The following is a 22299-nucleotide window of genomic DNA, read 5'->3' as shown; positions in this document are numbered from 1 at the left end:
CAATGTTATCCCACAATAAGAAATGTATTTTTTTCATAGAGACCCACAATATACATACATATTTAACTAAAACAAACATTTCATGAAATAATACTTTTACCCTTACCATGTATAATGTACTAAAATTTTTTTAGATTTTTTTTTAATAAAAGCTGGTCACAATTTCATGAAATAATACTTTTACCCTTACCACATAAAATGTACTAAATAATACTTTTACCCTTACCACATAAAATGTACTAAATAATACTTTTACCCTTACCACATAAAATGTACTAAAATTTTCATGAAATAATACTTTTACCCTTACCACATAAAATGTACTAAAATTTTTTTTTTGAGATGGAGTGTTGCTCTGTCGCCCAGGCTGGAGTGCAGTGGGGCAATCTCGGCTCACTGCAAGCTCTGCCTCCCGGGTTCAGGCCATTCTCCTGCCTCAGCCTCCCGAGTAGCTGGGACTACAGGCACTCGCCACCACGCCCGCCTAATTTTTTTTGTATTTTTAGTAGAGACGGGGTTTCACCGTGTTAGCCAGACGGTCTCGATCTCCTGACCTCGTGATCCGCCCACCCTGGCCTCCCAAAGTGCTGGGATTACAGGCATGAGCCACTGTGCCCAGCCTAGATTGTTTTTTAATAAAAGCTGGTCAAAATTTCCCACCCCAATTCAGTCACCCATTTAAGAAATACTACACTAGAATATAAATCCTTGTTGGCAGAACTCAATACATTCATTTTTATGCTCTACTACAGACCATAACATGTAGTGAACATTTAAATGTTTAAATGAATGAATAAATATAGTAGATGCTGTACTAGAAAACTGAAACAGTATCTTCATTGCTTTGGGGCAAGTTAAAAAAAAAAGGAGAGAAAAGTGAAAGAGTAAGTCTCTCAAGTCAAACTGACCCACCAGCCACCAACATACTTAGGCAATCTCTGACAAATGACTGAACCTCCTTGAGTCCCAGGAAATAATACCACTTACTTAACTTGCTATAACAATAAAGTAGCAACATTCCTGCCACAGAGTAAGCATTCTATAAATATTAGTTTCTCTCCCTACCTTGTATTCTTCCCTACTCCTTAGGAACAGATCAAGATGTAAGCATCTCATCCTAACAAATATTCATTTTTTAAAGACTTCAGATTGTAGTACAAAGATTAATGATTTTTTTCAAGTCTGAGAGATTTGGGTAAATACCCAGTATTACATTTACACAATTTCTCATTATCTGTTTATGAGACTATGACACTCCTTACGGCATTATTGAAAATTAAATTATGGCCAGGTGCAGTGGCTCACACCTGTAATTCCAGCACTTTGGGAGGCCGAGGTGGGCAGATCACTTGAGGTCAGGGTTCAAGACCAGCCTGGCCAACATGGTGAAACCTTGTCTCTACTAAAAATACAAAAATTAGCCAGGCGCGGTGGTGTGTGCCTGTAGTCCTAGCTATTCGGGAGGCTGAGGCTGGAGAACTGCTTGAACCCGGGAGACAGAGGTTGCAGTAAGCTGAGATGGAGCCACTGCACTCCAACATGGGCGACAGAGCACAACTCCATCTCAAAATAAAAAAAAAATTAAATTATACACTCATATGTCTAGTATAACTATGCCAATACATAGTAAACACAATAAAGACTGCAGTTGTTGCTATGATTATTAATAATTCTTCAATCAGCATAGAAAGAGGTAGTATATAAACTGAATTTTTAAGGTTGGAAGGGTTGGACAAAGGCATGGTGCAGTCAAAAGGACCAGTAAAATCTTAATTATAAGAAACCTCTTCCCCTTTTTTTCTGTATTTCCTCTTTTAAGAAAAAGAAACAAACTACAAAGATATAAATGTGTCAATTTCCTCAATTCTCTATCTCCAAGGTTACATATAAAACCCAGAATAACCACACTAACCCTGTATAATGCAAAATTTAATTTAAAGATTGGCCAGGTGAGGTGGCTCATGCCTAAAATCCCAGCGCTTTGGGAGGCTGAGGTAGGAGGATCCCTTGAGCCCAGGAGTTTGAGACGAGCCTGGGCAACATAGTCAGATCTCCCCTCTACCAAAAAAAAAAAAAAAAAAAAAAAAAATTAAAAAATTAGCCAGGGGTGGTGGAGCGCCCCTGTGGTCCCAGCTACTTGGTAGGTTGAGGCAGGAGGATCACTTGAGCCTAAGAGGTGGAGCTTGCAGTGCACTGTGATTGTTACCACTGCACTCCAGCAGGGTTGAGTGTGACCCTGTCTCAAAAAAAAAAAAAAAGAATTTAAATATATGAAAATTCTGTTCAGTGGGCTATACAATTTAAAGTGTATTAATGACATATTTTAGAAAGAATTTCAATTAAAAGTTCAAATTAAGAGTGTTTTGTAGTTAACCCAGTTTACCAGAAAAATATTAACTGAAATCTTTACTCAATAAGTCTTTAATAAAATTTTATTCTCCAATAAAATTGGTATTATTTGGTTAAAAACATTCCCAGTAACATTCCCAATGTTAGGATGGCAGCACTCTTCTACTCTTCTATTAAATATACAGTAAATTCCCTCCAAAAACGTTTATTATCACTTTGAAAACTTTGATTAATGTTTTTTATCTCCTCAGTCTCATTTTTTTTTCCATAAATATGTAAGCATGGCTTCTCACAGAGACCAGGGTCCCTGTTATTTTCCCCATGTATTTTCTCCAACACACCTTTCAAAGCACTTCTCAGAAAAAAAAAAAAGGCTTTTGAGTGGCAGAAGCACCAATACCTGTAAAAACACTAGCAAGAAGGCAAGAATTTTCTTCTAACACCTGTAAACATTTTTAAGATAGGAAGATAGTTAACAGTAATTAAACTATCCCAGGGATTTAACAGTAATGTATCTACTCGGGAAGAATCAAAGTAATTTTCCATTATCTGTGTTGGGAGCAAAGAGATGGCTATTTTTATGGTACATATATTTAAACTTTATGCTAATAACATATATTCTAAATGTTTACTCAAGCTTTTATTTATTATTTAGCCTTTCAGGGCTTCAGTAATTTTATGTTTATAAACTGTTAACGAAATCAAGACCTAAGGTGAGGAGATACATCCTATGTGATACTTAAATCAGGCAGACTCCAGAACAAATGTCTCTCTGGCTCACCACTGTATTCTTAGCACCTAAATACAATAGATACTAAATAAATATCTGTCCAAGTTTAAGTATTCGTTTATAGAAAGGAAAATTAGGTCGAGGGAAATTACAAATACATGAATCAAAATTAGGTTAAGGTTTTTGAGTATGGCATGTACTTAGTGACTTGCTTCCAAAAGAGTAGAGATCGGAAGGAGGCAGGAAAGTGGGCGAAACTCCACAAAGACCTCAACCACCTGATCAAGGTAAGCGTCATCAGTTTTATCATGTCGTTAGTTTGTATCCTTGATATGATGTGATGAGACTGGCAATTCATCTCTGTTATCTTCCTCCCTAAAACTCATAATCCCAGTCTAATCATCAGAAAAATACCAGATAAATCTCAATTGAGGGATATTCTATAAAATGTCTGACAAGCACTTCTTAAAATTGTCATAGTCATCAAAACAAAGAGAAGTCATAGAAAGTGAAATTCTGGAACAAAAAAAAGACATTAGGGAAAAATTAGCGAAATAGGAATAAAGTATGTAGTTAATAGTACTGTAACAATTTTGTTTCCTTAATTGTGACAAATGTACCATTGTAATGTAGGAAATTGAACAGGAGAAACTGGGTGAGGTATACTCTGTATACTAGCTTGCAACTTTTCTGTAACTATAAAACTATTCTAAAATAAAAAGTTTATTTAAATAGAAAAGTTAGGGTAAGGGAAATAAAGTATATATGGATCAAAATCCCTTAGAAGCAAATAATAATAAACATTCTTTTGATCCCTTTATATTAGTGGCAGGACAGGGATAGCCTTCTCATTTAGAGGATATAAAATTATTAATAAAACAATACTATAAGCCGGGCGTGGTGGTTCCCGCCTGTAATCCCAGCACTTTGGGAGGCTGAGGCAGGCGGATACCTGAGGTCAGGAGTTCTAGAGCAGCCTGGCCAACATGGTAAAACTCCGTCTCTACTAAAAATACAAAAATAAGCCAGGCTTGGTGGCAGGGGCCTGTAACCCCAGCTACTCCAGAGGCTGAGACAGGAGAATCACTTGAACCCGGGAGGTGGAGGTTGCAGTGAGCCAAGATAGCGCCACTGCACTCCAGCCTGGGAGAAAGGCTGCCAGACTCCACCAAAAAAAAAAAAAAAAAAAAAAAAAAAAAAGCAATACTATAGGCTATAGGCATTGTACACATCTGTAGTATTAATTTTGAAGTCACATGTGACCAAACCAAATGCTCCTTAAATGTTAGTTTCCCAAAGCATCAAATCTTTGTTCTCAACCCTTCAAAAAAAAAATTTTTTTTTTTTGAGACAGAGTTTTGCCCCGTTGCCCAGGCTGGAGTGCAGTGGCATGATCTCAACTCACTACAACCTTCACCTCCTAGGTTCAAGCGATTCTCCTGCCTCAGCCTCACGAGTAGCTGGGACTACAGGCATGCCCCACGAGGCCCAGCTAATTTTTGTATTTTTGGTAGAGATGGGGTTTTGCCACGTTGGCCAGGCTGGTCTCAAACTCCTAACCTCAGGTGATCCTCCCACCTCAGCCTCCCAAAGTGCTGGGATTACAGGCACGAGTTGAGCAATCCTTTTTTCAAGGGATGGGAGTCTGGCTACACTGCCCAGGCTGGACTTGAACTCCTGATCTCAGGAGAGCCTCCTGCCTTAGCCTTATATAAGTATTTTATGACCTCATTTACTTTTCTTTCTCAACTAAAAATTGCTCTCAGTGGTTAGCATATATACTCATTTCTCAATTGTATTGTCTTTTCTGCCCTAAGGCCTAGATACCACTTCAATATCTTTATTTAACTTTTCTGATTGAGCACCATTGTTATGGGGTAATTAAAATTCCAATAAAATGGTGTTGCTGTAACTTCTCTATACAGTTCTTGTGCAGATTTTAAATGGTTCCTGTGGTTTAACATTCTTCCAGTAAAATTGATTCAAATAAAAACATACAATACAGAAATAATTCAAACCTACCAAAGCATTCACAAAATGAAACGATGCATTAGTAAACAAGGATTGTCCTTAAATTCAAAAATTTTCCAAACTCTCCAAAAGTTCATTTTTTATCTTCAACTCTTTGACCTTCTACTTTTATATATTCTAAAAATTATATTTCATTCTCTTAAAATCTGTTCATGTTAACGTTCATATTAACTTCACATTTTTCAAAAAAAGCTTTACAAAGCACACATATACACAAATCAAATCACTACTTCATCCCTAAAAAAGTATTTTCACTGGTAATTTTATTTACGTATGTTTAGATCACAATTTTTATGTAAAAAGAAAAAAATAGATTTTTCTAAAACTATCAAAAAGAAATCCAGATAATGCAATTACTTCTGATTGCATTAGAATCTCTCATTAATGGTTTTGAAATTCAAGTAATATTTTTTCCCAAAGTTGGCAAACTCCATAATGCACTACTCTATTATTCCCCATCACTCTATGATGGTACCTAATAATGCTGAGGTTTTAAAGATGGATCAACAAAACAGCAGAGAACGGCAAAAAACGTCGGTATACACCTTAGGAGAACTGCAAGGTAACAGAGGTAAGTCTTAAGATTCGGATGGAACAGGTACAGGCATGAATGGTTCAGCTTCTCCCACCAAGATAAATGTACATGCGAGGCGACAGCACAGTTACAAAGCCCCTGGCTACCAGAGAAACCTCAGCCCCTAGTGCCGCTAGCGCACTCTATTACACTCAGCCGGCCACGTGGCTGTCACAATCAGAAAAAAGATAGGAGAAACAACTTCAACTAACCTGTAAATACTTAACTGCCCTCCTCCCCTCACCTCGGAGTTGGGGTAGGAGAAAGAAAGTCTGTGGTCATTTCTTTGCACGCTAAAACTCTTTTTTCCCAGTAGGGAGAAAATGAAGTTCAGAGACTGCTGTAAAAAGACTTTAAAGCAGAAATCCAGTGCAAGAACACTGCGAGAGTGTGGGTCGTCAGCGAAGCAGACACCCCAACTCCCGAGAGATGCAGTGGAAAAAGAGGCATTTTGCAAAGGTGCAAAAGGGGGTGGAGTTAAGTAGTGGAGGATGGAGCACGGAGCACATGGGCTGCTTTCCGCTAACTACCACCGTCCTGCCGGGTTCCACACAGGCTGCTGCTGCAGTGGGGCAAACTTGAAAGGCTGAAGGCCTCTTCCACCGCAGACCTCTCACCTTGCCAGGAAAGAGGACTAAAAGGCAAAGGTAACCACGGCCCCAAAGGAGGCGGCGAACAGGAAGTGTCCATATTGCAGCGCTGAAACAGTAGCTCCCAAGACAGCCACCCTCTGAGGCCCCCTCGAGGCGGTGGAGGGGCGAGAGGGTGCCGGGGTCGCTCCCACACACACCCGGGACCCGCCTCTGCCCACCACAACGCCCGGCCGCCCCCGGCACCTCCCCGTGCACTACTTGGCGGGGCCCAGCCAGTCCCAACTGGGGCCGGACGAGGACTCCGAGCCCGACATGTCTCGCTCCACTTCAAGCCAGAGGAGGGGGCGTTGCAAAGGCTCCGAGGTGCTTGGGGTACTTCCCTAACAGCAGATTCCAGCCCCGAGCCGAGCCCTGAGGGTCCTTGGGGCCCCCTCCACGCCTTCCCGGAGAGACGACACCCCTCGCCGCGGTTTCCGCCGCGCGACAGCCCCTCCCGGGCGGTCATTACCTCTCAGGAAAAACTCCTAACTCCTCACAAGCCACACTCCCCTCAGTTCGACATCCCCCGGAGCCCACACACCACCCGATACGCGCGCCGGGGACACCCCCGCGCCGGCGCAAATTCCTCACTGGACAAAAATGTCCGGGCGCGTCACGGGACAGCCGCCTCCGCGCCCCACGCCTGGCGCGGGTCGCTCGCGCTGCCTCCGCGCCCGGGAGCTGCGCCGCGGGCTGGGGCGGGGAGCGCCGACCCTGGAGGGGACCGCTCCGCCCGGGACTCACCGTCAGCTCGGCCGGGAGGCGAGGGACCGGCCGGGGAAGACACAATATGGCAGAGCACCGCAGCTGTTCCCTGCAGCTTCCAGCAGTCGCCTCCGGGAAGACGCGGCAACCAGCAGGCAGCAGCAGCTGCAGTGGCGGCCCCGGCAGCACCACATCCCCCTCCCGCTCGCTTCCTCCCCCTCCCTCCCCTTCCCCGCTGCCATGGCAACGCGGCGCCAAGGCGATTAGCCCCACCCCTCCCTCCAGTCCCGCCTCCCGCGACCCCGAGGAAGGGGGCTCGGCCGGCCCCTCCCGGTTCCCGCCCACCTCCTACCGAAGGGAGGGGCCTGGGTTCCGGCTGGCTGCCTGGCACGGCGGCTGGGGTGGGGGTGAAATGCAGGGTCCGGAAGGGCGGGGCTCACACGGAAAGCAGGGTGGAGGCGCTGTAGGCCGGTGCGGGTTTAGGGCTGAGCAGGGCAGGGGAAAGCGGGAAAATGCAAAGGCCTCGCATGTCCGAGGAAGGACCTATAGGAGTGCGGCGGAGGCGCGGCGCGGCCGCTGAGTGGTCGAGGAGGCGCGGGGGCGGGGCTAGGCTGCCGCAGGGCAGTACGGCCCTCGGTGCCTGTGCCCGGGCTGAGGAGACCTTCCTCGACACCCCACGTTATGTGGGTTTCCGCAAGACCTTCCGCCATTGCCTGGGCTTTGAAAGCGCTTTAGGAACGGTAAAGCATTGCTGTAACTTAAAGTAGTGTTACTCTGGCTTGACTGAAATGTTCTGTGGAAACAAGTCACTGTGTTTGCAGTAGGGAAAAAAAGACTTACGGATCAAATCCAAAATTTAATGTGCATAGGATTTACAGAAGCTAAGGACTTCACATCCATTGTCATATCCATAATAATAACATAGCTTTGCCACACGAAATACAGGAGAGCTCATTTAAACCTGAATTTCAGAAAAATGGAGATTTTTTTTAAAAATATAAGAATATCCCGTTTGGGTTATACTTCCTGTTTGTTTTGGTTCGTTTTACTAAATCTGAGAACCCTATCTAACTCATGGAAACTTTACAGATACGGAAACGGAGGCTTAGAAGTGGAAACTTTACAGATATGGAAACTGAGACTTAGAAAAATGACCCGTCAAAGGTATGAGAAGTGGCAGCACTAAGGCTCTAGTTTGCTACGAATATGATCCTGATAATTAAATCTCTGAGTTTCTCTATCAATATCTTCAAAAACTAGAGTAGTGATACCTATCTCACAAAGGTGTTGAGTAGACTAAAAGAAAAGGTATACGAAGCCCGGATACTGACTGAGCATGTTCACTGTGTGTCCAGGCTCTGAGTAGAAGGTGAGCTGTGTGTGAAACAAGCTACCTGCTGACAATAAAACAAGTCAGGCTGTGGGGCTGATAGCTGCAGAAGAATTATGGGCATCAGAATATATTTTTAAAATATAAACATTTGATCCCGTCATTCCACAGATGGAACGCTGCATTTATATAACTTGTTTAGTCATCTACCAGTTTCATTTGTCTTTCTTGCACTGTCCTGGAGGGCCTCACAGCTACATTCGGAGGCCACAAGGCAAATGTACAGTGTGCTTCAATTGGAACAGGAGTTGCTGTGACTTCTCCCTTCGGAGCAATCACTGTTGCCCACTCATATGGACATACTGAAGGAAATTCTTGGAACGAGGGTGTAGTAGAGAGGGAGCAGGGGAAAGAACGAAGGGAAGATTGAAAGAAGATGGAGCCACAAAGGAGCCATAGCCTCCTCACACCTCAGTCTTGTTTTATCTCTGCCAGCCATTGTTGTGGTGGCTACTAACATAATATATGTTAATCTTCTTACAAATTATTTTACTAATATCTTACTTGATATATTGAACTTTAATTATCTTTCTCCTCATTGCTCTTACTCCATCTATGTATTTATTTATTATTTTTATTTTTTATTTTTTTGAGACAGAGTCTCGCTCTGTCGCCCAGGCTGGAGTGCGGTGGCGCAATCTCGGCTCACTGCAACCTCCGCCACCCGGGTTCAAGTGATTCTCATGCCCCAGCGTCCGGAGTAGCTGGGATTACAGCGTGCGCCAACATGCCCAGCTAATTTTTGTAATTTTAGTAGAGATAGGATTTCACTGTATTGGCAAGGCTGGTCTCAAACTCCTGTGCTCAGGTGATCTCCCTGTCTCAGCCTCCCAAAGTGCTGGGATTACAGGCGTGAACCACCGCGCCGTGCCGTCCATCTATTTTAAAATCAGGTGGCTAAGCAGTCCTGTTTAACTGTAGAAGGATCACAGAATTTGAGAGCTGGACGATACTTCAGAGATGTATCATCCAGGAACTCAATCTATCATGAGAAAACAAATCCAGAAAAGTTATGTAATTTGTCCCAGATCAAATGATGAATCTACTGCACCCTCATTCTCTAAATTGCCTCTCCTAATCCTCTTACCGACTGATTCAACCCAGAAAGTCTGGGCATATTTAAATAAAATTTGTGAGTAAGGCTGAGGTCTCAGCAAATCTGTTATGCCCTTAGTTTACAGTCCAGGGATACCTGTATACCTGCAGGTTGTGTTAGAGGACTTTGAACATCTGCCAAGGAAAAGCCCTGATTAAAGATAATGATGATTCAGAGTGAATAGCTTTTCCCAGGAGTTTGCAACAGTAAAAAGGCTAGGAAACAAGAAGTGAACTCTAGGAAAAAGATGATCCTGGCTTTAAGATCTCTTGTGAAGCTTACTATTCTTCTGTCTCCAAAATATTTCCAAGAAACATATTCAGTGATAAACTTTACTGGAAGACACATGCATTAGAAAATATATTGTTTAAAATGCTCCCATGCTTAGGCTAAAAAGTGATAGAAGCTCAAATATTTGTTTGTGTTTTAAATGTATTTATCATTGTATAATGCTACATAAATTTAACAAAAGACTTTTTGATCATGAATTGATGATTCTAAAAATAACCAGTTTGTCAATAAGGAGTCTAGACTTCAAGCCCCTTGAGGTCAAGAACCAAGTTTTTCTATAATCTAATTTCTAAGAAGAGCTTCAGGTACAGTGGTGATGTTCAATAATGTTTGTCAATAAAATAAGTAACTAATCTCAAATTTTACAATACCAGGACTAGTATATAATATTCCTAAATACTGGTCTGCCACTTGGGCTAAAAGGTTAGAATTATGAATAAAAGTCTGATTTTTTTTTCCTGAAGGATCATTTTCAATGCATTTTTTAAAAGCAACTACCTATATTTAATGATATCTACATTTTTGTATGCCTTGGTATTAACAGTAATTTGGATCAATCTTCAACAAAATATGAAAGATATCAGCTTGAAGGCATGAGAAAGCTAAAAAGTTAATGAGGAATTACCAGGCCATGATCTGGGGAATGATGGAGGTCAATTCCGTAGAGGGCTGCTGAGAGGATGAGCAGGAATGGGGGACAGAGATTTGAGTTCAGGGCATACTAAGAGAGAAAGAGATGAACTCTGTTGAAGGCCCCTTGCTTTGGACTAGGAATTCAAAGAGCTCCATCATAAAAGTAAAAGGTCTGTAGCTCAGTTTCAGATCATCTCAACCTTGAAACTGGATTAGGATAATTCCTTTGAGCTCATGCCCACAAGCACTTGGCAGAAGCAAACTAAAATCCTTTCTGGAGTGAAACTATATCATTCTAGGCCTCAAATAATTTCTACAGATAATTTTGAAATCACAGTGCCTCGTACACAATTTTTAAAAATCAGTTACCTAAGGAAATTAGAAAAATATAGCAGAAACAACAGAGAACAAAAACAGACCCAACAGGGGTCAGGTAATGAAATTATCAGGTACAGATTTAAAAATAACAATGCCTACTATGTTCAAATAAATCAAACACAAGATTAAATATGTGGGCAGACAACTAGAAACTTGAAAAAAGAGCCAGATGAAAATTTTGGAACAAAAAAATTTACTAACTGAAAATAAAGACTCAATGATGGGTTTAAGAGCATATTAGGCACAGATAAAGATAGAATTAGTGAACTAGAAGGTAAGTCAGAAGAAACTATTCAGAATGAAGCACAAAAAGGAAAAAAGATGGAAAATATAGAACACATAGAAGATAGAGTTAGGAAGTTTAATATGAACATAAATGACATTCCAAAAGGAAGGGAAAAGGTATTCAGCTTAAATAATATTTGAACCAATGAATCTCCATCAGGATATTTTTTTAATCCACACAGCTGATATATAGACACATCATGAAAAACTTGCTAAAATCTGAAGACAAGAAGAAAAATCTTTAAGAGCAGCCAGAGAAAAGAGAGGACTTAAAAAAAAGAAAATTAGACTTGCAGTTGACTTTTTAACAGAAATAGCTGAAGCCAGAAAATGATGGAATGACAACTTTAAAGGGATGAAACAAATATTTTTTAAGAATGAAAGTAAAATTAAGGAATTTCCAAAGGAACAAAACAGTATTCACAGTGGCATTCCATAGGCAGGAAGTAAATGATCCCAGTTATATCATAGATATGGTAGGAAATAAAGATCAAGAAAAATGATAAATATATAGGTAAATCTAAATGAATATTGATACTGACTATATAAGACTATAATAGTCTTGTCTTCTGTATTTAAAAATATACAGTAGGCTAAGTGCGGTGGTTCACGGCTGTAATCCCAGCACTTTGGGAGGCTGAGGCAGGAGGACTTGAGCCCAGGAGTTAGAGACAAGCCTGGGCAACATAGTGAGACCCCATCTGTACATAAAATTAAAAAATTAGCCAGGCACGATGGCACATTCCTGTAGTGGAAAGCCTGGGAAGCTGAGGTGGGAAGATTGCTTGAGCCCCGTAAGCCATCATTGCACCACTGCACTGCACTCTAGCCTGAGCAACAGAGACCCTCTTAAGACACACACACACACACACACACACACACACACGAAATAATGGTATATGTCAGGAGAAGGTAAATGGAATCAAGTGTTCTAAAATCAGTGCATTTTCTAGAAGTATGGAAAAAGTGATAGTTAATATTAGACTCTGGTAAGTCAAGAATACATCTTATGAGCTTTAGAATAATCATTGAGAAAATAGTAAGAAACTGTATTAGTCAGGATTCTTCAGAGAAACAGAAGTGGAGGCTTAGTAGCCTAAAAGCTGTAAGGTAGAACAACAGGCTAGAGACAAAGAAGAGTTGCAGTTTGAGTCCAAAAGCAGTCGGCTAGCAGAATTCCTTCTTGCCCATGGGAGATAAATCTTTGTTCTATTAAGGCATTGGATAAGATCTACCCACCTTATGGAAGGTAATCTGCTTTATTAAAGTCTACAGATTTAAATGTTAATCTCATCCAAAAAACACCTTCACAGAAACATTTAGAATAGTGTTTGACCAAACATTTGGCCACCAGTGGCACTGGCAAGTTGATTCATAAAATAAGCCAGGACACTATGCAATTTCCAATCTAATTTGAGCATGTGAGGAAATAAAAAATAATCTAAATGCAAGATAGAAGAGAAATAAGAACATATGATAGAGCAAATAGAAAGTTGTTATAAGATGGTAGACATAAACCCAAATATATCACTAATTACACTAAATGAAAACAGATCATAATTTAATGACAAAGATTGTTTTTGTTGCCTATTGTTATATAACAAACTACCCCAAAATTTAGTAGCTTAGGCCCAGCACGGTGCCTCACACCTGTAATCCCAGCACTTTGGGAGGCTGAGCAGGTGAATCACTTGAGGTCAGGAGTTTGAGACCAGCCTAGCTAACATGGTGAAACCCCATCTCTAATAAAAATGCAAAAAAATTAGCCAAACGTGGTTGTACCCACCTGTAGTCCCAGCTACTCAGGAGGATGAGGCACAAGAATCACTTGAACCAGGAGGTGGAGGTTGCAGTGAGCCCAGATGGTGCCACTGTACTCCAGCCTGGGCAACATAGCAAGACCCTATCTCCAAAAAAAAAAATGTAGTAGCTTAAAATCAAAACCATTTTATTATTTTTCCAGATTCTGTGGGTCAGAAATTTCAACAGGGCATAATGGAGAAGGCTCTCTCTTCTCTGGGTGATGTCCGCTGGGGCTGAAATGTTCTAGATAGCTTCTTCACTCACATGTCTAGCACCTAGCTAGGATGGCTCCAATGGCCGGGGGTTAGAACAGCTTGACTGATATCATATGTGTGGGGCCTTGGTTCTCACAATTGATTGGGTTCTTTGGTTTTTCTACAAGTAGTTCTAGGACTTCTGTTCCACATGGCCAATCCATGTAGCCTCTACAGAAAGATAGCCGACTTCTTACATGCAAGCTCAGAGTTCCCAAGAAGATTAGGTTTAGAACTAACACACTGTCACTTCTGTTACATTCTATCAGATAAAGGAAATAACAGGCCTAGAGTCAAGAGGAGGAAACTACATAAGGGTGTAAATACTAGGAAGTAGGATGAACCTGGGGCCACCAATTGATGTAACCAACTACCACAGATTGTCACTGGGCAAAAATAACCACACGCTCTTTACAAGGGGCATAATCTAGAACATAAAAATACAGAAAGTTTGAAAGTAAAAAATAGAAAAAAAGTAAACCATGCAAAATTACCAAAAGGAAGCTGGAATAGCTAAATTAAGTAGATACTAAGACAAAAAGTACTGGGGCCGGGCACGTTGGCTCACGCCTGTAATCCCAGCACTTTGGGAGGCCGAGGCGGGCGGATCACGAGGTCAGGAGATCGAGACCATCCTGGCTAACACGGTGAAACCCCATCTCTACTAAAAAATACAAAAAAAATTAGCCAGGTGTGGTGGCAGGCACCTGTAATCCCAGCTGCTCGGGAGGCTGAGGCAGGAGAATGGCATGAACCCAGGAGTTGGAGCTTGCAGTGAGCCGAGATCACGCCACTGTACTCCAGCCTGGGCAACAGAGTGAGACTCCGTCTCAAAAAAAAAAAAAAAGACGAAAAGTACTGCTGGAGTGAAAGGGAGACTCTTCATAATAATGAAGACTTAATTTGCCAGGAAGATAAAAATATTCTAAATTTGTATTCCTCCAATAACATAACCTCAAAATATATAAAGCAAAAATTACAGAACTACGAGGAATAAAAAATCCAGAATTTTAGGAGGAGATGTTAACATATTCAGTTACTGATAAAACAGGCAGACAAAAAATTCAGTGACTATGGGTCTGAACAATGCTATTAGCAAAGTTAAGTATAAGGACATATGGAATACTTTTCTACAGTCCTTTACACATGAAGAAATTCATTAGTTTATGTTATTTCTGCTTTGGCTCATGAAGCTGGTAAGGATATCAGAGGATCCTGAGCCTTCAGGCTGCTTAGAATCTATCCCTATTTTACAGATAGACTGTGTACCTTTACCTCATTCATTAAATAAACATATTAACTACTGACTATGTTCCAGGCCCTGCACTTAGTACAGAGATGAAAATAGTAGTTAAAACTACAGACAAGCAAATCAGAAAATATAATTGCAGTATACAAGTGCAGTGATAGAGCTTTACATAAGTAGTAATGGGAATCAAGTCCTAACTCAGCCCTGGGAGATGTCTGAACAAAGATTGAAGAGAGAAGAATATAGAGTAGAGGTAGGAATGGGAGTGGTAGAAGGAGGGGTGGAACCATATCTAGCAAAGCCTAGTGGGGAAAGAGCATGATTATTCAAGTCAGAGAACTGCCAGTCATTTGGAATGTCTGGAATACAAAAGGTTGCTCAAGTTAGGGATTATCTGGTTGCAAGAAACAGAAACTCATGCCAGCTGGCTAAAGTAGGAGAAATGAATATAAAAATAGGCAGGGATTATGTGAGACACAACTGTGGGAAGCACAGCCAACATTAACAAGAACTCTCCCCTTTCTCTCTCTCACCATCTAGTCTTGGCTTTTCTTTGTGTGTCTGTTTCACTCTCTGCTCACTTATAGGCTTACATGTGGCCCATTATGGCTGTCCCAGATACGGGCCTTGGCTCTCCACCTCTGCTACCAACCCACTTTGTCTAACTTTCCTGCTTAGCAACCCACAGTTATTACCTAACACAGCCTCAGGGTCCCACTTCCAAATTCCCAGGAGCCGTAATCAGAGTGATGCAGCTTCTACATGCTTGTATATCAGGGGTCAGCAAACTATGGCCCTGGGGGCCAAATCTAGCCTGCCTTCCACTTTTGTAAATAAAGTTTTAATTGAACATAGCCACACACATTCATTAACATACTATTTATGGCTGCTTTGGCACTACAAAGACAGAGTTGTGCAACTGAGACAGAAAACCAATGGACCGTAAGGCTGAAAACATTTACTATGGCGACCTTTACAGAAAAAGTTTGCTGGCCAGGCACGGTGGCTCACGCCTGTAATCCCAGTACTTTGGGAGGCCTAGGCGAGTGGATCACCTGAGGTCAGCAGTTCAAGACCAGCGTGGCCAACATGGTGAAACCCCGTCTCTACTAAAAATACAAAAACTACCCGGGCATGGTGGTGCGAACCTGTAAATCCCAGCTACTTGGGAGGCTGAGGCAGGAGAATCGCTTGAACCCGGGAGGCAGAGGTTGCAGTGAGCCGAGATCACGCCACTGCGCTCCAGCCTGTGCAACAGAGTGAGACTCTGTCTCAAAAAAAAAAAAAGTTTGCTGACTTTGCAGTAAACAGGTCATGTGGAGGTATAGAGCTGTATAAAGATTTACAGGGCATCAGCTCTGGTAATGGAAGCTCTGAAAGTGGATAACCCCTTTGTGTCTTCAAAAAAAAGGATAATGGTGGGGAAAGAAACTGTGGCTGTGGAAGTATTTTGAGAAAGGAACGGGTTGCAAACTAACACAGGAAAGAAAATAATCAGTCTCAAGTGTATGCTAAATGTTTTACACAACGGGTGAAAGGGTAAAAGACTGTAACTTCTTACTCTGGAGAAATTCATTAAGATGCTAAATTTAGGAGCGCGTGTCACCTGTTGTCACCTGTAACTGCCTTTAAATAACTCACTTGTGGCAAATTTCCCAGACCCTCCAAGCATAGCTCTTGCTGAGATGAACTGGCTGAGGCATAATATTTGCTGACTGTACAAAGATTTTTAAATGCATGTCCAGAAGGTTAAATATTGTTTACCTTCCAGAGAGAGAGAGAGAGAGAGAGAGAAGGTACTGAGAGAAAGAGACGGGTAAATAGAAAGAGGCAGATAGACTGAGACTTGCTCAGGGAGGAGAAAATAAAATCTAGAATTTACCATTTTGGTAAATTTAAGATCATTGTGGGGAAATCTTTGTTAAGAAACACTTTTTCTGGGTGAGTAGAAAAAATATTAGATTTTTTAAAACCCTAAGATTCATGGCCAGGTGCGGTGGCTCATGCCTGTAATCCCAACACTTTGGGAGGCCGAGGCAGGTGGGTCACTTGAGGGCAGGAGTTCGAGACCAGCCTGGCCAACATGGTGAAACCCCGTCTCTACTAAAAATACGAAAAATTAGCTAGGTGTGGTGGCGAACACCTGTAGTCCCAGCTACTCAGGAGGCTGAGGCAAGAGAATCGCTTGAACCCGAGAGGCAGAGGTTGCAGTGAGCCGAGACTGCACTACTGCACTTCAGCCTGGGTGACAGAGCAATACTCTGTCTCAAACAAAACAAAACAAACCCCTAAGCTTCAGATCCTTACTACTCCAAGTGTGGCCCAAGCACACTCAGCGGTGTTGGCATCACCAGGAAGTTTATTAGAAATGCCAAATCCCGGCTGGGTGTGGTAACTCATGCCTGTAATCCCAAAGCTTTGGGAGGCCAAAGCGGGTGGATCATCTGAGGTCAGGAGTTCGAGATCAGCCTGACCAACATAGTGAAACCCTGTCTCTACTAAAAATACAAAAATTATCTGAGTATGGTAGTGGCACGCTCCTGTAATCCCAGAGATTAGAGAGGCTGAGGCAGGAGAATCACTCCAACCCGGGAGGCGGAGGTTGCAGTGAGCTGAGATCATGCCACTGCACTCCAGCCTGGGCAACACAGTGAGACCCTGTCTCAAAAAAAAAAAAAGAAAAGAAAAAGAAATGCAAAATCCCTGGCCCCATTCTAGACCCAGTGAATAAGAACCTGCATTTTAAAAATCCCATAAATGATTCTGTTAAGAAAAAGTTATTCAATGACACTTGTTAAAGCATGGTAAGGCAGACTTTATTCAGAACCATCATGATAGGTATAGGGACCACTGCAATGAGATTTTACAGTGGGGATGAGAGACTGGGCTCAACTCAGAATACAGCAGGACAAGTGGGAATTTATAGCCAAGGAGCAGGTAGGGGCCAGTGGATGAAAAATTACTAAGAGCAAACATCGGCAGTAAGGAGGATTCTGGCTAAACTAACCTAAGAAGGTTTCTTCTGCTATAGACATCCTCTATAATCAGACATCCTCTGGAGGATGGCAGAGGATGAAGAATCCAGTCAGATACTAAAGGTGGGGGAGGTTCTTGCTAAACTGACGTAGCAGAGTTCTTTGCTAAAAATGGACTTTACAAGACAGTGTACAAATATGCTGGAAGAAGGTTTGGTCGAGCAGAGAATTTTTGTCAATTCTAATTACATTAAAGTAAGAGAAGCAATGAATTAGTACAGTAGTTTTCAGATGGTTTAAAATGGAACAGTTGTTTTGTTTCATATTCTTTGAATGAAATCTTTCATAAAGCCCAATTCATAAAATAGATCAAAGTAGACCTGTTCTGATTGAAGATGGGAGGATACTGGAAGGCAGGGAAGGGCTGGAAAACCCAGGTATGTTTATTCGATGTTCCTCCAAGAACACAGTTTGAAAACCACTGATCTAACAGAATGAGCAGAAGTAATAGAATCCTCAGGCCCAGGGTCTGTTAAACTACCAGGCTGTTTTCCAGCTCCACCTCATTGAGAACTACTACAATGAATCCATGTTAGGGATGAGACATGTCCTGTTTTGAAAGAGTACACATTTTTAAAAACTTGGGAATCACTGATATAGATCACATTTTTCAACTCAGAAATAAAGCGGCCAGGTGCTGTGGCTCACACCTGTAATCCCAGCACTTTGGGAGGCCAAGACAAGCAGATCACTTGAGGTCAAGAGTTTGAGACCAGCCCGGCCAACATGGTGAAACACCCTCTCTACTAAAAATACAAAAAATTAGCTGGGCATGGTGGCTTATGCCTGTAATCCCAGCTACATGGGAGGCTGAGGCAGGAGAATTGTTTTAGCCTGGGAGACAGAGGTTGCAGTGAGCTGGGATTGCGACACTGCACTCCAGCCTGGGCAACAGAGCAAGACTTCGTCTCAAAATAAATAAATAAAGCATCTAGGGCTCAGAAGGTGACCATTTAAACTTCATTAAAACACAGCTACATTTAAAGCTATACTAATTGCTAACAAAAGAAACAAACCTAATATTCAATAAATCTTAGGGACGGGGACCTGCCAAGATGGCAAAATAGGAACAGCTCTGGTCTGCATCTCCCAGCGGGACCAATGCAGAAGGTGGATGATTTCTGCATTTCCAACTAAAGTACCCTGTTCATCTCACTGGGACTGGTTAGACAGTGGGTGCAACCCATGGAGGGCGAGCAGAAGCAGGGTAGGGCATCGCCTCACCTGAGAAGTGCAAGGGCTGGAACCTCCCTCCCCTAGCCAAGGAAAGCCAAGAGGGACTGTGCTATCCCGCCGAGATACTATGCTTTTCCCACGGTTTTTGCAACCTGCAGACCAGGAGATTCCCTTGTGTGCCTACACCACCAGGGCCCTGGGTTTCAAGCACAAAACTGGGCAGCTGTTTGGGCAGACACCAAGCTAGCTGCAGGAGTTTTTTTTTTTTTTTTTTTTGGACCCCAGTGGTGCTTGGAACCCCAGCGAGAGAACCATTCACTCCTCTGGAAAGGGGCCTGAAGCCAGGGAGCCAAGTGGTCTTGTTCAGCGGGTCCCACTCCCACGGAGCCCAGCAAACTAAGAACCTCTGGCTCAAAATTGTTGCTGCCAGAACAGCAGTCTGAAGTCAACCAGGGACAATCAAGCTTGGTGGGAGGAGAGGCATCCGCCATTACTGAGGCTTGAGTAGGTGGTTTTCCCCTCACACTGTTAAGGAAGCCACCCAGAAGTTTGGACTAGGCAGAACTCACTGCAGCGCAGAAAAACGGCTGTGGCCAGATTGCCTCTCTAGATTCCTCCTCACTGGGCAGGGCATCTCTGAAAGAAAGGCAGCAGCCTGAGTCGGGCTTATAGATAAAACTCCCATCTCAGTGTGACAGAGCAGCTGGGGGAAGGGGCAGCTGTGAGCACAGCTTCAGCAGACTTAAACGTTCCTGCCTGCTGGCTCTGCAGAGAGCAGCAGATCTCCCAGCACAGTGCTCGAGCTCTGCTAAGGGACAGTCTGCCTCCTCAAGTGGGTCCTTGACCCCCATGCCTCCTGACTGGGAGACACTTCCCAGCAGGGGTGGACAGGCACCTCATACAAGAGAGTTCCAGCTGGCCTCAGGTGGGTGCCCCTCTTGGATGAAGCTTCCAGAGGAAGGAGCAGGCAGCAATCTTTGCTGTTCTACAGCCTCTGCTGGTGATACCCAGGCAACAGGGTCTGGAGTAGACTTCCAGCAGACCTGCAGAAGAGGGGCCTGCCTGTTAGGAGGAAAACTAAGAAACAGAAAGCAATATCAATATCAACAAAATGGATGCCCACAAAAAAACCCCATCCAAAGGTCATCAGCATCAAAGATCAAAGGTAGATAAATCCACGAAGATGAGGAAAAACCAGCACAAAAATGCTGAAGATTCCAAAAACCAGAATGGCTTTTCTCCTCCAAATGATCGCAGCTACTCTCCAGCAAAGGCACAAAACTGGACGGAGAATGAGTTTGATGAACTGACAGAAGGAGGCCTCAGAAGGTGGGTAATAACAAACTCCTCTGAGCTAAAGGAGCGTGTTCTAACCCAATGCAAGGAAGCTAAGAACCTTGATAAAAGGTTGCAAGAACTGCTAACTAGAATAACCAGTTTAGAGAAGAATATAAATGACCTGATGGAGCTGAGAAACACAGCACGAGAACTTCGTGAAGCATATACAAGTATCAATAGCTGAATCGATCAAGTGGAAGAAAGGATATCAGAGATTGAAGATCAACTTAATGAAATAAAGCGTGAAGACAAGATTAGAGAAAAAAGAATGAAAAGGAATGAACAAAGCCTCCAAGAAATATGGGACTATGTGAAAAGACCAAAAGTACGATTGATTGGTGTACCTGAAAGCGATGGGGAGAATGGAATCAAGTTGGAAAACACACTTTAGAATATTATCCAGGAGAACTTCCCCAACCTAGCAAGGCAGGCCAACATTCAAATTCAGGAAATACAAAGAATACCACAAAGATATTCCTCGAGAAGAGCAACCCCAAGACACATAATTGTCAGATTCTCCAAGGCTGAAATGAAGGAAAAAATGTTAAGGGCAGCCAGAGACAAAGGTCAGGTACCTACAAAGGGAAGCCCATCAGACTAACAGCAGATCTCTTTGCAGAAACCCTACAAGCCAGAAGAGAGTGGGGGCCAATATTCAACATTCTTAAAGAAAAGAATTTTCAACCCAGAATTTCATATCCAGCCAAACTAAGCTTCACAAATGAAGGAAAAATAAGATCCTTACTGACAAGCAAATGCTGAGGGATTTTGTGACCACGAGGCCTGCCTTACAAGAGCTCCTGAAGGAAGCACTAAATATGGAAAGGAAAAACCGGGACCAGCCACAACAAAAACACCAAAACATAAAGAAGAAACTGCATCAACTAATGTGCAAAATAACCAGTTAGCATCATGATAACAGGATCGAATTCACACATAACAATATTAACTTTAAACGTAAATGGGCTAAATGCCCCAATTAAAAAACACAGACTGGCAAGTTGGATAAAATATACAGCACACTCCATCAGTGTGCAAAGACACACATAGGCTCAAAATAAAGGGATGGTGGAAAATTTACCAAGCAAATGGAAACAAAAAAAAAGCAGGGTTTGCAATCCTAATCTCTGATAAAACAGACTTTAAACCAACAAAGATTAAAAAAGACAAAGAAGGGCATTACATAATGGTAAAGGTATCAATGCAACAAGAAGAGCTAACTATCCTGAATATATATGCACCCAATACAGGAGCAGCCAGATTCATAAAGCAAGTTCTTAGAGACCTACGAAGAGACTTAGACTCCCACACAATAACAGTGGGAGACTTAACACCCCACTGTCAATATTAGGCAGATCAATGAGACAAAAAATTGACAAGGGTATTCAGAACTTGAACTCAGCTCTGGACCAAGTGGACCTAGTAGACATCTACAGAACTCTCCACCCCAAATCAACAGAATATACATTCTTCTCAGCAGCACATAGCACTTATTCTAAAATTGACCACATAATTGGTAGTAAAACACTCCTCAGCAAATGCAAAAGAATGGAAATCATAAAAAACAGTCTCTCAGACCACAATGCAATCAAATTAGAACTCAGGATTAAGGAACTCATTGAAAACCACACAACTACATGGAAACTGAAGATCCTACTCCTGAATGACTACTGGGTAAATAACAAAATAAAGGCAGAAATAAATAAGTTATTTGAAACCAATGAGAACAAAGACATAACATACCAGAATCTCTGGGACACACTTAAAGCAGTATTTAGAGGAAAATTTATAGCACTAAATGCACACATCAGAAAGCAGGCAAGATCTAAAATCAACACCCTACATCACAATTAAAAGAACTAGAGAAGGCCAGGCGCAGTGGCTCACGCTTGTAATCCCAGCACTTTGGGAGGCCAAGGCGGGTGGATCACCTGAGGTCAGGAGTTCAAGACCAACCTGACCAACATGGAGAAACCCTGTCTGTACTAAAAATACAAAATTAGCCAGGCATGGTGGTGCATGCCTCTAATCCCAGCTGCTTGGGAGGCTGAGGCAGGAGAATTGCTTGAACCTGGGAGGCAGAGGTTGCAGTGAGCCAAGATCGCACCACTGCACTGCAGCTGAGGAACAAGAGCAATACTCCAGCTCAAAAAAAAAAAAAAAAAAAAGAACTAGAGAAGCAAGAGCAAAAAAATTCAAAAGCTACCAGAAGACAAGAAATAACTAAGATCAGAGCAGAACTGAAGGAGATAGAGATACGAAAAACCCTTCAAAAAATCAATGAATCCAGGAACTGGTGTTTTGAAAAGATTAACAAAATAGATAGACCGCTAGTCAGACTAATAAGAGA

At 42.3% G+C, this 22299-nt stretch overlaps 1 protein-coding gene and 1 long non-coding RNA gene across 27 annotated transcripts in view, besides 6 other annotated features; one reads left to right on the top strand and one right to left on the bottom strand.

The window, feature by feature from the left end:
* The window catches only part of FOXN2 (forkhead box N2), a 65637-nt gene extending 57421 nt beyond the window's left edge, over positions 1-8216 (bottom strand). For 12 of the 26 annotated variants that reach the window (NR_164686.1, NR_164691.1, XM_047444105.1 and 9 more), the window contains exon 1: positions 7061-7193. The gene's annotated coding sequence lies outside the window, so the exon portion shown is untranslated. Of the gene's footprint in view, positions 1-5896; positions 7194-7373 lie in introns of those variants that run through there. The other 14 variants (XM_047444108.1, NM_001375451.1, NM_001375449.1 and 11 more) reach the window with 5 other exon arrangements.
* Positions 6256-6305: an enhancer, noted in NCBI's record as "active region_15745". NCBI's record gives its function as "activates an Ori minimal core promoter by ATAC-STARR-seq in GM12878 lymphoblastoid cells {active_cell/tissue: GM12878}" and the evidence as "EXISTENCE:reporter gene assay evidence [ECO:0000049][PMID:35858748]".
* Positions 6408-7236: an enhancer, noted in NCBI's record as "H3K27ac hESC enhancer chr2:48541778-48542606 (GRCh37/hg19 assembly coordinates)". NCBI's record gives its function as "activates a minimal SCP1, AML or CMV promoter by ChIP-STARR-seq in naive and primed H9 embryonic stem cells {active_cell/tissue: H9 hESC(naive and primed)}" and the evidence as "EXISTENCE:reporter gene assay evidence [ECO:0000049][PMID:30033119]".
* Positions 6408-7755: a biological region, named in NCBI's record as "H3K27ac hESC enhancer GRCh37_chr2:48541778-48542606".
* Positions 6476-6605: a silencer, noted in NCBI's record as "silent region_11477". NCBI's record gives its function as "represses an Ori minimal core promoter by ATAC-STARR-seq in GM12878 lymphoblastoid cells {active_cell/tissue: GM12878}" and the evidence as "EXISTENCE:reporter gene assay evidence [ECO:0000049][PMID:35858748]".
* Positions 6836-7755: a silencer, noted in NCBI's record as "silent region_11476". NCBI's record gives its function as "represses an Ori minimal core promoter by ATAC-STARR-seq in GM12878 lymphoblastoid cells {active_cell/tissue: GM12878}" and the evidence as "EXISTENCE:reporter gene assay evidence [ECO:0000049][PMID:35858748]".
* Positions 7678-10261, top strand: LOC124907766 (uncharacterized). Its single transcript, XR_007086315.1, has 2 exons — positions 7678-7761; positions 8111-10261. It is a non-coding gene; the product is annotated as an uncharacterized LOC124907766 (long non-coding RNA).
* Positions 7996-8235: an enhancer, noted in NCBI's record as "active region_15744". NCBI's record gives its function as "activates an Ori minimal core promoter by ATAC-STARR-seq in GM12878 lymphoblastoid cells {active_cell/tissue: GM12878}" and the evidence as "EXISTENCE:reporter gene assay evidence [ECO:0000049][PMID:35858748]".
* Positions 10262-22299: the final 12038 nt, after the last annotated feature.

Source organism: Homo sapiens, chromosome 2 (assembly GCF_000001405.40).
Source record: "Homo sapiens chromosome 2, GRCh38.p14 Primary Assembly".
NCBI lineage: Eukaryota > Metazoa > Chordata > Mammalia > Primates > Hominidae > Homo > Homo sapiens.
This window is presented reverse-complemented; position numbering and strand designations above follow the sequence as displayed.